General features: G+C 37.1%; 3 annotated features.

The window, feature by feature from the left end:
• Positions 11,509-12,708: an enhancer, noted in NCBI's record as "CDK7 strongly-dependent group 2 enhancer chr4:31238182-31239381 (GRCh37/hg19 assembly coordinates)". NCBI's record gives its function as "activates an origin of replication core promoter dependent on BRD2, BRD4, P300/CBP, MED14 and CDK7 cofactors, with strong dependence on CDK7, by STARR-seq in HCT116 cells {active_cell/tissue: HCT116}" and the evidence as "EXISTENCE:reporter gene assay evidence [ECO:0000049][PMID:35650434]".
• Positions 14,065-15,264: an enhancer, noted in NCBI's record as "MED14-independent group 3 enhancer chr4:31235626-31236825 (GRCh37/hg19 assembly coordinates)". NCBI's record gives its function as "activates an origin of replication core promoter dependent on BRD2, BRD4, P300/CBP and CDK7 cofactors, and independent of MED14, by STARR-seq in HCT116 cells {active_cell/tissue: HCT116}" and the evidence as "EXISTENCE:reporter gene assay evidence [ECO:0000049][PMID:35650434]".
• Positions 14,477-14,656: an enhancer, noted in NCBI's record as "active region_21405". NCBI's record gives its function as "activates an Ori minimal core promoter by ATAC-STARR-seq in GM12878 lymphoblastoid cells {active_cell/tissue: GM12878}" and the evidence as "EXISTENCE:reporter gene assay evidence [ECO:0000049][PMID:35858748]".

Here is a 16,464-nt window from a genome sequence, read left to right as displayed (position 1 = left end):
TAGTCTCAGGTATTACATTTGAGTATTTGATCCGTTTTCATTTTATTTTTATATATGGTGAGAGATAGGGTTCTAGTGTCATTTTTTTGCATATAGTTGTCCAGTTTTCCCACCATCATTTATTTGCCTCTCATGATAAAGAGGAGGTTCTGCTCTATTCTGGTCAGAAAATATACTTGCTATATCAAAGATGAGTTCACTGTAAATGCATAGATTTTCAACTGGTTCCTCTATTCTGTTCCATTGGTTTATGCGTCTGTTTTTATGCTAGTGCTATGCTAGCTTGGTTACTGTAGCTTCGTAGTGAATTTTGAAGTCAAGTAGTGTGACGCCTCCAGCTTTGTTATTGTTGCTGAGGATTGCTTTGGTTATTCAGTCTTTTTTGGTTCCCTATGCGTTTTAGGACTTTTTTTTTTTTCTATTTCTGTGAAGAATGTCACTGATATTTTTAAGGGAATTGCATTGAATCTGTAAATTGCTTTGGGTAGTATTGTCATTTTAACAATATTAATTCTTCCAATTTATGAGCATGGAATGTCTTTTCATTTTTTTGTGTCTTCTTTAATTTCTTTCATCAATGTTTTGTAGTTTTCCTTGGATAAATATTTTACCTCTTTGGTTAAATTGATTCCAAGGTATTTTATATTCTTTGTAGGTGTTGTAAATGTGATTGCTTTCTTGATTTCTCTTTCGGATTGTTCACTATTGGCATATATAAATGCTACTGATTTTTGTATGATGATTTTGTATCCTGCAACTTTGATGAAATCCTTTATCCAGTTATAACAGTTTGTTGATAGAGTCTTTAGGTTTTTCTAAGCATAAGATTATGTCTTCTGCATACAAGCCTAATTGGTTTCTTCCTTTTCAATTTGGATGTCCTTCTTGTCTTTCCCTTGCCTAATTGCTCCAGCCAAGACTTTCAGCATTATGGTGCATAAAAATGATAAAAGTGGGCATCTTTGCCTTGCTCCAGATCCTACAAGAAAGGCTTTCAGTTTTTCCTCATTCAGTACAATGTTAGCTGTGGGTTTGTTATATGTGGCTTTTATTATCTTGATGTATGTTCCTTCTACACTCAGTTTGATGAGGGGTTTTTTTTAAATCATAAAGGGATGTTGAATTTATCAAATGCTTTTTCAGCAGCTATTGAAATAATCATATGTTTTTTGTTCTTGTTACTGTTGATGTGATGTATCATGTTTATTGATTTGCATATACTGAACCATCCTTGCATCCCTGGGGTAAATTCCAATTGATCATAGGGCATAATTTTTTTAATGTAATGTTGAATTTGTTTTTCTAGTATTTTGTTGATTAATTTTGCATCTATTTTTATCCTCGTCTAGTTTTGATATCATGATAAGGCTGGCCTCATAAAATGAGTTTGGAATAATTATCTCTTCAAGTTTTTTTAAGACATTAAGTAGAATTGGTATTAGTTTTTTTAATGTTTGGTAGATTCAGCAGTGAAGACATCAGATCCTGGGCTCTTCTTTGATGGAAGTCTTTTTATTACAGCTTTCATACTCATTGTTGGCTCATTGATGCATTCTATTTCTTCATAGTTAAATCTTATTATGTGCATGTGTCCAGGAATTCATCCATTTCCTCTAGATTTTCCGTTTTGGTGGAGTATAGTTATTGATAATAGTTTTAAATTATTCTTTGTATCTCTGTTGGCTCAGTTGTTATGTCTCCTTTGTCACTTCTGAGATTATTTATTTGGGTCTTCTCTCCTTTTATTTTTAATCAGTCTAGCCAAAAGTTTGTTGATTTTATTTTCCTTTTCAAAAAAAGACATCTTTTCATTTTGTTGATCTTCTATATTGTTTTTAGTATCAATTTCACTTATTTCTGCTCTGATTTTTATTATTTCTTTTCTTCTACTAATTTTGAGTTTGATTTGTTCTTGCTATTCTAATTCCTTGTGGTGCATTTTCATGCTGTTTATTTAAAGTCTTTTTACTTTTCTGATACAAGTGTTTATTTTGAGAACTTTCCCTCCTACTATAGCTTTTGCTGTATCCCATAGATTTTGGTATGTTGTATTTCCGTTTTCATTTGTAGCACAAAATTTTTTAATCTCCTTTATAATTTCTTCATTGACTCATCAGTCATTCAGGAGCATGTTGCTTACAATCCATGTGTTTGTGAAGTTTCCAAGGTTCCTGTGATTGCTTTCTAGTTTTAATCTATTGTGGTCAGAAAAGATGCTTGATATGATTTCTGCTTTTTGGAATTTGCTGAGACTTGTCTTGTGGCCTAGGATATGGTCTATTCTGGAGAATGTTCCATGTGCTGATAAAAAGAATGTGTATTCTGCAGGAATTCTATAAATGTCCATGAGGCCAATTAAGTCCAGTTTGTAGTTTAACTCTGATGTTTCTCTGTTGCTCCTTTTGTCTGGATGATATGTTCATTACTGAAAGTGAGATATTACAGTCCCTTAGTATTATTGTGTTGCAGTCTATCTCTCCCTATAGATCTATTAATAGTTTCTTTACATACTTGAGGGCTCTGGTGTTGGGTGCACAGATATTTATAATTGTTACATATTTTCATCATTATATAGTGACCTTCTTTGTATCCTTTCCCAGTCTCTAATTTGTAGTCTCTTTTATCTGATATGAGTGCAGCTACTCCTGCTTTTTTTTTTCAGTTTCCAGTGTCGTAGAATATCTTTATTCATCCCTTTACCTTCAGTCTATGTGTATCTTTATATATGACATCTGTTTCTTATAGAAAGAATATAGTTAGGTCTTGTTTCTTTATCCAATTAGTCACATTTTACCTTTTAATTGGAGGACTGAGTCCATTTACATTCACTGTTATTATTAATATGTAAGATCTCACTACTGCCATTTAGGTTGGCATTTCCAGTTGTTTTAACTCCCCTCTTCCATTTGTTCTTTCTTACTGTCTTTCTTTGTGGTTATTTTTCTTTGGCAGCATGTTTTAATTTCTTGCCTTTTATTTTGGTGAATTGCATAGGTTTTGTGTTGTGGTTACCATGAGGCTAACAAACATAACAAATTATTTTTTATAGAAACGACAACTTATCTTTATCACAAATAAAAGAATGAAAAAAATAAAAAATTATACACTTTAACTGCATTCCCCCACATTTTGACTTTGTGTTGTCTCAATTTACATATTTTATATTACCTATCTCTTAAGATTTTCTGTAGCTATTATTGTTTTTGATAGATTTGTCTTTTGAGCTTTATACTAGACTTATAAGTGGATTGCAAACTATTATTATAGTATTATTATGAGTCGATTTATGTACTTAATATTATCAGCAGGTTTTGCACCTTCAAAAGCTCTTTATTTTCACATTAGTTTTTTTTTTTTTCTTTCATTGAGATTGAAGAACTCTCTTTAGCATTTCTTGCAAGACAGGTCTGATGGTAGTGAATTCTCTCAGGTGTTGTTTGTCTGGGAAAGGTCATCTTTCCTTCATCCTTGAAGGATAATTTTGCTGGATACGATATTCGTGGTGGCAGTTTTCTTTTTCTTTGAACACTTTGAAAATATTTTTCCTCTCCCTCCTGGCCTGTATGGTTTATATTGAGAAATCTGTTGCTAGACAAATTGGAGCTCCTTTTTATGTTATTTGCTTCATTTTCCTTGCTGCTTTTAGGATTTGCTCTCTGTGCTTGACCTTTGAGAGTCTGATTATTATATGCCTTCAGGAGGTCTTACTTGGGCTCAATCTGGTATTCTCTGACCCTCCTGTACCTGGATAGCTATATCTGTATCATGTTTTGGAGACTTTTCTGTTATCATTTCTTTATATATGGTTTATGTTTCTTGCTCTTCCTCAATTCCCACTTGATTATCAATAAATTTTGTCTCTTGAGCTAATTTTCTATATCTGGTAGCTGATCTTTGTTGTTTTTCTGTTTTTCATTCTTTCTTCTTTTTTCTCCTTTGACTATGTATTTTTAAATATCCTATATTCAAGCACACTGATTCCTTCCTCTTGTTGATATATTCTGCTGTTGATGGTCTGTAACGAATTTTTCAGTTCAGCAATTTCTGTTTTTTTTTATTATTTAAATGTCTTTGTTAAATTTATCTGATAAATTTCTAAATTGATTTTCTATGTTATCTTGGAGATCACTGAGTTTTCTTAAAATTGCTATTTAGAATTCTTGGTCAGAGAGCTCACCTATCACTCTCTCATGAGGGTCAGTTACTGATTCCTTGCTTTGTCTGTTTAGAGAGATCACGGTTCCCTGTTTGCTGTTGTTTCTTATGGATCTATGTCTATGTCTTTGCATTGAGGGATTAGTTATTTATTTCAGTCTTCTCTGATTTGTTTTGATTTTCTCTCAGTATGTTTACTTAGAGGTTCTTTACCACAAGGTTGCTGCCTACTTTTTGGGTCTTGATGGCTCCTTAAGCCCAGGTTCACCTCAGCTCTCATAAACAATTGGAGTATCACCCTTCCTGAATCAGGAAGATCCCAAAGGTAAGACCCTGGCAATGTGGGAAGACAGGACAGTGGTTCATGCCTAGGTTCATGCAGTGGATTATGCCTCCTACAGTGTGGTGCTGCTGAATAACAACTTTGATTTGGCGGATCCTCTGGCAGTGTTACAGAGCAGAGTTGCCAGGAGTGAGGATGGTAATCCCACCTCCCCCTTTGTCTACATTTGTTCCTTCAGGCACTCACAATCTTCCTGTAAGTTAAGGTAGGGACAAACCTCCTGCCAAGGAACCCAGGATAATGAAGAAGCTTGTTGTCCACCACAATTTCACTTTTTCCATTGTAGACAAAATGAGTTGGAAAAAACCTTCTCTGTGTTTGATGCTGGGCAGAATGAGAGGAGGGGGTTTATGGATGCGGAAGTCCAATTAATTTACCATTGGCTCAGGGCTTTTTTCACTTCTCTGAAGTTCCGGAAAATGTCTCATCTTCATATTTAACTTCTAGGGTATTTATTTTCTTTTTCTTTTTTGAGATGAAGTCTCACGCTGTCGCCCAGGCTGGACTGTGGAGTGCAGTGGCACGATCCCGGCTCACTGAACCTCCACCTCGTGGGCTCAAGCAACTTTCCTGCCTCAGCCTCCTGGAGCTCTAGGATATTTCTGTTGATGATCTTAGCACTGTATGTTTGTTTTTGTTTTTTAGTTTTTTGTTTGCTTGTTTTGAGACAGAGTTTCACTCTTGTCACCCAGGCTGGAGTGCAATGGCCCAATCTTGGCTCACTGCAACCTCCACTTCCAGGATTCAAGTGATTTTGCCTCAGCCTCCCAAGTAGCTGGGAATACAGGCACGTACCACCACACCCAGCAAATTTTTGTATTTTTAGTAGAGACAGGGCTTCACCACGTTGCCCAGGCTGGTCTCAAACTCCTGACCTCAGGTGATCCACTAACCTTGGCCTCCCAAAGTGCTGAGATTACAGGCGTGAGCCACAGTACTGGGCCTGTTTTTGTTTGTTTGTTTGTTTGTTTTTGAGGAAAGTGGTGAAGTCAGCATGCTTCCATACCACAATTTTGGACTAAATTGAGTAGTCTTTTAAAAATGCATTCACTACAACTTAGAATCTCAAACTTTTTGCTATTCGACAGTTCTGAGAAAACTGCATTTTCTGTCTTCGTTGGTCTCTCCCAAGCTACATAGTATTGCTAGAAGTTTGCAGAAATTCTACTTTCATTAATTGCAAGTAGTTGCTTGCTATCTAACCTTGGTTGTTTCCTTTGTGTTGCCTTTCAACTTCCTACTATCTGTCTCTCATGATCCTCCCAAAAAAGCCTTTCCCAAACTTTCTCCATCCTCACCTCAAGCCTTGATGCCTATTCCTAAAGTTATTATTTTATTATACAATATCAGTTCCTAACAGAACTATATGAAAGTGTTGGCCTTTCTCTCCAACTCCAAGTCTTCTTGCTGTGTCTCCTCTTTGTGTTTAATCTGCTAACATATCTGAATATCAAATTTTATTTCTTGTCAAACATTTTCTTTGATCACAACATTTTTCTCTTATAATAGATGCCTCAGTTCCTTTTATTGACCAGTTCCCCATCTTCCATGGCATGTTGAGTTCCCATACCCTAAAGGAAATGTTATTTTTTGGCATTCCTTACAAATATCTCTTCCTTAAGCTATGATACTATTTTCCTTCTATCACCAAATATTTTATTTGAATAACCTGCCCTCATTGCCTCACTTTTTTTTCATTTCTAAAACTTTGCAATGTTTTCAGCACACATTATCAGAGAGAGATTGCTCTCTGAGAAAGATAATGGCCTCCTGATTATGGAATTCAATATCATTTTTCATTCTTCAAACTCTTTGTAGTATTTGATGCTGCTGAAATCCTTTTCCCCTTTAAACTGCTTAATCCTTTGATCCCACATAACGTGACAACTCCCTCTCTATTTCTTCTCCACCTCTGCTAAGTTCCTCATCATCCCAAATGAAAATATTCCTAATAGTTTGGTCCTCAGCTCTCAGAAGTTGTCCATCTGCATTGCTTTCCATGGCGATTTAGTTTATGCCAAGACTATCGACTCTGGGCATAATTAAAACTACCTGTATAACTGTATTAATTTTCTATAGCTAGTTTCTAATTTCCTTCTTAGCCCTAATCAGCAGTGCTTTTTTTTTTGTTTTGTTTTAGATGGAGTTTCGCTCTTGTTGCCCAGGCTGGAGTACAATGGCATTCACCACAAACTCCGCCTCCCGGGTTCAAGTGGTTCTCCTGCCTCGGTCTCCCGAGTAGCTGGGATTACAGGCATGCACCACCATGTCTGGCTAATTTTGTATTTTTAGTAGAGACGGGGTTTCTACATGTTGATCAGGCTGGTCTCGAACTCCCGACCTCAAGTGATCCGCCTGCCTTGGCCTCCCAAAGTGCTGGGATTACAGGCACGAGCCACCACGCCTGGCCATAAGCAGTGCTTTCTAACTTCCATATTTCTACCAGTAGTCTGCTTATGATGTATCATGTAAGATGATACAGATTTTCTCTAGCATCCTCATCTCTTTCTGACCCCTCACAGGCAGAGTCTTCAACATTGACATTTTGAGTAACAGTCTGTCAGAGGAAATCCAGGTTTTTCTATTACACTCCTTGAAATTACTGCAGCCACTGTTTATGGCCCAGTTCCAAAGTCATTTTCACATATTTAGGTGTTTATTACAGCAGCACCCCACTTTCAGGTACCAAAATCTGCATTTGTTTTCTATTGCTGCTGTGACAAATTACCAGAAATGTAGTAGCTTAAAGAAACAAAGATTTATTGTCATATAGGTCTGGAGGTCAGAAATCTGAAATAGGTTTCACTGGGCCAAAATCAAGGTGTCAGCAGTGGCCTGTTCCCTCCAGAGACTGGAGGGTGATGCAATTTTCTTGCATTTTTCAGCTTCTAGAGGAGAACTTGGCCCATGACCCCTCCTCCAATTTCAAAGTCAGCAAAGTAGCATTTTCTCTCCCATTTGACCTCTGTCCCCAGTGCATTTTCTCAATGACTTTTTACTTCCTGCCCCTATCACATATGAATTTTTGTGATTAAATTATGCCCACTCAGATAATGCAGGGTAATCTGCCCATCTCACGATCCTTAATTTAATCACCTCTGCAAAGTCCCTTTTTCCATCAAATAAAGAATCATATTCACAGATTTGAGGATTAGGATGTGGACATCCTTGGGTGGCCATGATACAGCCTACTACAATATCTAAACCTTAATATTCCAGTTCCTAAGCACAGTTCCAACAGCTTGACATTCATTTTTATTCAAATGCTTTCTTGGCACTTTGAAATCAACAGCTCTAAGAGCAAAGGCATATTTCTACCAAGACCAATTAATCCTTCTGATATCTCTTTTTGTTAATGATCTAAGTGGCAAATACAATATATTCCACTTCCATAGTATCTGTTACACAAATCCTTTTATTTCGAATCCCGCTGCCACCTGCATTAATTATCATGTCATTACAGCTTCTCTGGATAATTATTTTATAAGTCATGTATTTTAGCTATTTGTCTGCCTATACCTTCAGATTATAGCTCCTTTAAGGGCAGAAAACATGCTTTGATCATCTCTTTATGACCTGCAAACTTAGAATAAAATCTTATGTGCTTGCATAGAAAGAAAAAAAAGAATTGTCTGTAATTTCATTTATATTAGTTTTGCACAATTATTTACAAATATCCCAGATATACATACGCTGAAAAGCACATAGAAACAAAGACATTTTCAGCCCAAATGACATTTTTACTCAATGAGATTCAATTCAACTCAACATCATGTATGCACTTAGTCCATAGCAGACGCTATACTGTATGTTAGAAATATATCAATAAGCCAGACAAGTTTATTGTCACTGAGAGGAAAACACCAATAGAAAAACAACAGTTCCAATTTGTTGGGTGCTCTGATAGGAATAAGTATGGTGTCCTGTGAGTACAGGATCATGTCCCCAAGCCTTTGAATAATCTAGCTGAAAGTCAAAAGCAGGGAAGGCTGTTAACCTAAGGAACAGAAATGAAAGACAGTTCCATATCAGAGCACTGTCAATGCCTTTTAAAAACTTTACATTTATATTTGCATTAAACATTTATAAAAGTACACACCGGATATTTTACATTTAATTTGGACTTTTTTAAAGTCCTCAAATATACTTTCTCGAATCTTTTGAAAATATAAACTTCTTTTGAAAAAAGAAGAGAAAGGAAAATAAGAAAGAGGAAGAGGAGGAAACATTATAAAAACAATCTTAAATGCTTCCTCTAAAAAGCCTATAGAAGTGGCTTGTAGTAAGTCAAAATTCCTGTACATGTTTTTCCTATTTTTATATGAGAACAAATCTCAAGAAACAGCATTTTCCACTTGTTTTATTACATAGAATAGATATAAAGTGGTTTAAATTCTGTTTCTCAAAAAAAACCAACTCTTTCTCCCTCATGGCATGAGAGCTTATAAAAAATAAATTTCCAACAAGTTTCTCAGAGGTATTATTAGGTAGGTGTTTATTTGCTATTAAAATTACAAGCAGTGAGTTCCCTAATTCCCTTATTCTTTTTTATCTAGGGTAAAATAAATGAAAAACATCACCACAGATAGCAAAATGTTTTGGCAGACTCTTCCTTATTGTTTCTGTGTCAGCATTTTAATATTGCTCAGACTGAGTTCAAGAGGGTCATGTTTTAATAAATGTGGGAGCATGTAAAGGCTTTTATAAATAAAACTAAGCCATCCTGCCTTTTGTCAGGTTGTTTATGTTGCACAGAATGTTCCTTTCCCTTGCTGTACTGATCACATTATATTCTTTTATTTTCCTAAGCCCCAACTTCACAACATACTAATGGATCAAGCCTATTTCACACCATGTAATACCTTGCATTATATAAGTGTTTGTTTACAAAGGCATTGCCTTAAAATAGAGTAGTGGGAAAAGACAGTGCAAAACACCAATTCTACTACCTAATATCATTAGTGGAAAAATTTATTGTCACTGGAAGTAGTGTATTGCTGACAACAGCTTTGGCGAAGCCACATCTGTTTATCCTAATGCTTAAGGGGTAAGATGTGTGACACGGAATGAGAATATGCCATTTGATTTGCTGCTATTACCTGACTTCAAAAACAATGGGTAGGTGCATAAATAAAGGCAAACCATTATTACAGTGCAGCAACTGGACCTCCTTTCAAAAAGCTGAAGCTTTAAACAGACTGCAGAATTGCTGTACCATGGTAAACAATATTGTAATACATTCTCTTAATGTCACAACTTCTCATTCTCAAATAAAAATGCTTTAAAAAAACTTTTAGACATGACTCTTAAATGTCATTTTTAATGTGAATTTCCTTTTATTATTTTATAAAAATCAAGTCAGATAATGTCTATCCTTTTAAGCAACTTTTCTTTCTAATTCATTTATCGGTGTGTGATATAATAGTTTATTGAGAAATCACTCTATTTTGACAAACAAATAATATTAATGGAGGCAGGGAAATACCGGGTAGAAGAGGGTGGCTCCCCAGCAAAGGCCTCACCCTCAAGCCTGGAAATTCACAGCCTTAAATGGGAACAAGCATTCCTGTTTTTGCACCCAAATTTGCCTTTTGGCCCACTACACCCCTCCATCCTGTACTCATATAAACCCCAAACCCCAGGATCTACAAACAGATGAACAGAAGAATGGAAAGGCAGAGGAACAGAGGAGTGGCACGGCAGAGAGGTGAGAAGAGAAAGAACATCTGAACATCAGGTGGAGTTCGTCTGGGGATCATAGGAGAGGGGATCAGCCGCAGGACAGCCAAACTCCAAGGAAAGATCACCTTCCCACTCCATCCCCTTTCCAGCTTCCCATCCATCCTGTTGAGAGCCACCTCCATCTGGCAGTAAAATCCCCCTAATTTACAATCCTTCCTGGATGCCAGATGAGAACGCAGGTCCCAAGAGGGCACTGAGCTGGTTAACACTTAAGCTGTCTGTGAACATCAGAGCTAAAAGAGCACTGTGACACACCCTCTAGGGCTTTGGGAGTTGCAAGCACCCACCCCTAAATGCTAGCATGGAGGTGGAGCCCCAAAGCACTCTCCCTGGTTCCTCTGGCTCCTGCACCTGCCCATCTGTGTGTTGCCCCTCCTGTAAGGGATTTGAGCATGTGGCAGCCCAACAGATGAGCTTATCCCTGTTGCACATCCTGCAAAAGGTCAGGGAACTCTCCCATTTTAATACGATGTTTTTACCAAATATAAAAGTTTTCTGAATGCCGATTGAGATGAAAGAGAGTCCCTTTGAGGTTTATGTTTGGTTTTAAAGAAATATTTGATAATTTCAAGAAACAAATGATGTCCTAGAAACAATATAAGATTATAAGTAAAACACATGTTCGGAGATGAGTTCTCATTCTGAGAACCAATATTTGTCAAAGCCAGCATTTGTCATTCATTCTTACTCAACTAAGTCCACTCTGGAATTATCCAGAATCTACAAATATGTCTTAATGTTAGAGTGCTCTAGAAATAATACAAAGAGTAAATTTATAAAATAGTACCATTTTAATTACTGTTCTTTATATGCAATCATTCGCATTTCTGAGAAGAACTGTTACACATTTTTTTTTAAAGAGACAAGTCCTCATTATGTCATTCAAAATGGAGTACAGTGACATTATCTCAGCTTGCTGTAACCTCAAACTCTTGGGCTCAAGTGATCCCAAGCAGCTGGGACTACTACAGCCATGTACCCACACGTCACTATTTTTGTTGTTGTTCTGTTGTTCTTGTTAGAGAAGGAAGTCTTGCTATGTTGCCCAAGCTGGTCTTGAACTCTTGGCATCAAGCAACATTCTCTTTTCAGCCTCCCAAAGTGTTGGGATTACAGGTAAGAGTCACCCTGTCCAGAGTTGTTACACATTTTTTAAAAGGACATAATCATAATAAATCTAGACATTTTAGTTATACAACAAAATTAAACTATACAGAAGATAAGTCTGTTTATGAAATTATTCCCCTTAGTCTATACCCATAGTGGCTGTGAACAAACCAGGTGCAAACCCCAAATTGTCACTCACTAAGTAATTGTCATGTGCCAGGTACTGTGTTAGATCATCTATGGGATTCATAAAATTACAAAACATAGCCAATGCTCAAAGATCACTTATCCAGTAAGAAAAACAAAAATACAAATAAGGCACTGTAAGCAAAGGTAATGTGTGCTCTGAGAGAGTAAAAATTATTGGGAGTAGAACAGAGAACATTTGATTCTACCCAGGAAGGTTGGAAGAATTCCACACCTTAGAGGATGAGTAATTTGTAAGTCATTGAAGAGATCAAAGAGAATTCAAAACAGAGATAATACACAGAATGAAGATATTGGCATGATGTTACATGGAATATTCTGGAAAATCATGAGTCACCATTGTTAGAAGTGGTTACAGTGTCTGGCAAGTGGGGCAAGGGATCATGATTATAAGTAAATCTGGAAATGTGAAAGGTCCCTCCCTTTATGCTATCCACATGTGTTTTGAAGAATCTGAATTAGTTTGAAACAATGTGTACATGTATTTCACATTATCTATTGTTGATTAGAAAGAGGCATTTAAATATCAGGGAACCAACATAAGTTTAGCATCAACTCACTACCACGTGCTAAGCACTAATGTGCTCACCATTCATTGTCTGCTTTGATGTTCTCCACTACCTCACAAATTTTTATTTCTCCTGTTTGACCAGTCAAGAAGCTGAATCTTACAAAGTGGAAATACCGTCTAGGACTGTCAGAGTCTTATAATAGACTAACAGCATAAGCAGCGTAGACTACTGATTAGGAATACGAACTCTGGAGCCAGACTGCTTAGGGCCAAAGCCCAGCACCCACACATGCAAGGTTTGTCATTTTGAGCAACGATTTAATAATCTCTGTGACTCACTTTCCTCTTCTATAAGTGGAAATAATGATAGACCCTACTCCCTGGGGTTGTATGAGGTACTACGGATATGAAAGATGACACAAACTACCTCTCCAAAGGAAAATAAGACTTGAAGGTGAAATATACCCTCCCAATTGGAAATGTAAATTTCTGTAAATGACAATGACCCTACTTTAGTCTGTATTGTGTGTCATCCCCACAAACTTCAAATTTTTGCATCAGCATATCTCCATTTTGCCAAGGAATTTGAAATTGAGAGAAGCCAAGTAGCGTTATCAGGTTTCAACAGTTATAACCATAACAAAATTGGAAGTCAAATAAAGGGCTGCCTTCATGTGGTATCTGTGCAGCTTTTGCTGCCATTCTATCAGCCTGGGTCTGTTTGAGACAGTCCTCGTGGCTTCAGGGGCCTGGGGCAGAGGGTAGAGAAGTCGTCATAGAGATGCAAGAAAATTCTTTTAAAGGGTGAATAAGAACTGAAAATGTATTCAAAGGCAGGGAGAGTTTGCCAGGGGGAGGAGAAATCATGTGCAAAGAGATCCAAAAGAAAAAGTACATTCAGGGAACAGAGAGCCTTGTTTTGTTGCTGATGCTCGTAATGCTGGTGATGAGGTGGAGGGAGAAGGCGTAGAGAGGTAAACAGGTGGCAAAGCTTATGTGCCATTCTATGGCTTTGATTTTTTTTCACTCAGAGCTCTGGGGAGTCATTAAAGCTTTCTGAGCTGGAGAATGGCATAATCAGATTTGAATTTGTAAGAGCTCATTCTGGCAGTGGTGTAGAAAGGGCTAGACTGTAGACAGGGAGATTGGTTGGAAAGCAATTTAATGAATTGAAGCCATTGGGAAGGAAAATTAAAGGAAAGGGTGAGGTTGCAGAAATATTCAGGCCTTTTTTATTTTTAATTTTTATGGATACATAATAGTTGTACAATTTTAAAATATAAAATAAATATATTTCTATAGCAAAAAAGGAGAAATATTTAGTTCTAAAGATTATTTTATTTTTCCAAAGGTAAGTGACTCCCTCATGTCCTTTATATTCTCTGGCTTTCTCATAATACCTCATGGGCCATTGTGTCCTAGCTAGAACTGTCTTTCTGAACAAAAGATAATTTATTTTCCTTTCCACTTTCTTTAATTAGCTCAATTTGCTTGTGTTACTTTTCACTATTTATTAAAATAATACTTTCAATTTGTTTAGGTGTTTACATTTAAACAGACGCATTTTTGAGAACTCTTCCTTAATCAGAAGATTTTCTTTTTAAACGTAGAAGTAAAAGCATCAAATTATGCCCAGGAAGAAAAAAACCTTAAGAAAGGTTTCTAATGTGCTTGAAAGATCTCATACTTGAACTTAGAAATTTTCATCAAAAAGTTACATAGGAGCAGAGAAACATTGTCAAGATTTTTTTTTTTTTTTTTTTAGATGGAATCTCACTCTGTCGCCCAGGCTGGAGAGCAATAGCACAGTCTCGGCTCACTATAACCTCCGCTTCCCAGGTTCAAGCAATTCTCCTGCCTCAGCCTTCTGAGTAGCTGGGATTACAGGTGCATGCCACCATGTCCAGCTAATTTTTGTATATTTTTAGTAGAGATGGGGTTTCACCATGGTGACCAGGCTAGTCTGGTACTCCTGACCTCAGGTGATCTGCCCACCTCGACCTCCCAAAGTGCTGGAATTACAGGCATGAGTCACTGTGCCTGGCCTTTGTTTAAACTTTAACTTTAGATTATTATGGTACATAATAGTTGTATATATCTGTGGGGTACATGTGATGTGTTGATACAGGCATACCTTGCCAAGATAAGAGAAGGTATTCATTAAACTCATATTGTTTCTCAATAATGGACTATATTGCTTGTACTTGAATCAATGATCTTGCAGATTCTCTGTCAATTGCATAATTTCATTTCTAATTTAATGGTTAATATGAACATTTCAATAAGCTAAAATATTATAACTTTGTTACACATGTATTTATTTATATTATATTAGCAAATGGCAAATACAGAAGTATCCCAGGCCTCCTTCAAAGTCTGAAAGGTCTTGCCTATCTATTTATTCAACAGCCAAATACTGAAACAGGTAAAAGGGGATCCCCAGAGAATCTTGCACGCACCCAACAAGTGTTTACATCACATATTTTTGTGCAGATGAGGGAACCTGCCCAGGGCTTGTCTGGGCATGCCCACAGAGGACTGGAGCCTGAAATGCTCACTGGGGAAAGTGGGTGGAGCCATGGGGAATTTGCGGCTTATGCAGGGGAGGGGCCTGCTCTCTTCAGCTCCTGTGGTGATCTGTGAATCAATCTGTGAGATGGGGGGCTTCTTAGCAGAACTCCATCTTGCTTTGCTGAGGTTTTTTTTTTTTTTTTTTGCCTTTTCGCCCAATAACATCTTGCTCTACTCACCCTCCAATGCGTCCAGATGCCTAAATTTTCTTGGTCCTATGACAAAAAGCCAGATCTTAGCTAAACTAAATTCTGCAACATGGGTATAAAATCCTATATAGGGATTGTTTTAATTGTGAAAGATACAGTCATTAATTTACTCATCAAACTTAGTGCGTGCCAGTCAGTGTTGAGTTGTTAAACGTAGGTAGACATAGCCCCTGCATTTGGCTCACAATCTATTGCCCTCTTTTCAAAAATGCTGTTCACAGACCATTGCTGGGTAATGAAACTGACCAAGTTGTTCATATGAAGAACATATTTCAAAAATGAAAATATAGTAAAATAGAGTGAAAATATGAGAGTAAGGATGCTACACAAAGTAAGGATAGTATTATTTTTTGGTAATATTGTTTTAGTTATATAAGGGGGAGGAGAAATACACTGAGTTGAACAGTAAAATACACTTTACCCTTGAACAACACAGGTTTCACTGGTGTGAGTCCACTTAATATGTGAATTTTCTTCCATCTCTGCCACCCTGAGACAGCAAAACCAAATCCTTCCTCTTCCTCTTCCTACTCAGCCTACTCAACATGAAAATGATGAGGATGAATACATTTAAGATAATCCATTTCCATTTAATGAATAGTAAATATATTTTCTCCCCTTATGATTTTTAATCATTTTCTTTTCTGTAGCTTTACTGTATGAATACAGTACACAATATATATAACATGCAAAATATGTGTCAATCAACTGTTTCTATTATCAGTAAGGCTTTCAGTCAGCAGTAGACTATTAGTGGTTAAGATTTGGGGGAGTCAAAAGTTATATGTGGATTTTCGACTGTGCAGGGGATCAGTGCTCCTTACCCCTGTGTTGTTCAATGGACAACTGTGTATTTTTTCTTGAGCATTCAAATTTTAAAACATCTGTAAAGCTCTTAACTATTTTAATGAGTCATAAATTATGTAATTGTCTCCTCAAAAGAGCTTAAAGTTAGTAGGGCTGGGCACGATGGCTCATGCCTATAATCCCAGCATTTTGGGAGGCCAAGGCAAGCAGATCCCGTAAGGTCAGGAGTTCAAGACCAGCCTGGCCAACATAGCAAAACCGCGTCACTACTAAAAGTACAAAAATTACCCAGGTGTGGTGGTGGGCGCCTGTAGTCCCAGCTACTCTGCAGGCTGAGGTAGGAGAATCGCTTGAACCCTCAGTCTTCTCACTGAGGCGGAGGTTGCAGTGAGCCGAGATCGTGCCACTGCACTCCAGCCTGGGCAACAAGAGCGAGACTCCATCTCAAAAAAAAAAAAGCAAGTAAACAGATAAATTATGACATAGAGAGATGAGTGAAGCAGTGGAAGTAGGCACAAAGAGGAGAGGAGGCATAGACAATGGCTGAATCTCTTTGAGCAGGGAAAGGATCTGACCTTTTTTGTGTTTTTTTCTTACTTTTTTTTTTAATCTTAGAAAAAGCCACAGAAGTTACTAAAACTAATATTCTTAATCTTGTGACTCTGAAAGTCTATTATGCTCTAACCTTTAATAGAAGAGACTATCATCTCCATTTCCTTCTGTGGGGCCGTTCTTACATATGTCAGCCTGAACTTCCTTAAAGACAACATTTGGATAGAGTTGTCTTGTCCAGCAATGTAAGCAGACAGATG

Source organism: Homo sapiens, chromosome 4 (assembly GCF_000001405.40).
Source record: "Homo sapiens chromosome 4, GRCh38.p14 Primary Assembly".
Classification (NCBI taxonomy): domain Eukaryota; kingdom Metazoa; phylum Chordata; class Mammalia; order Primates; family Hominidae; genus Homo; species Homo sapiens.
Note: the sequence above shows the minus strand (reverse complement) of the source record. Positions and strands in the feature narration are given on the sequence as shown.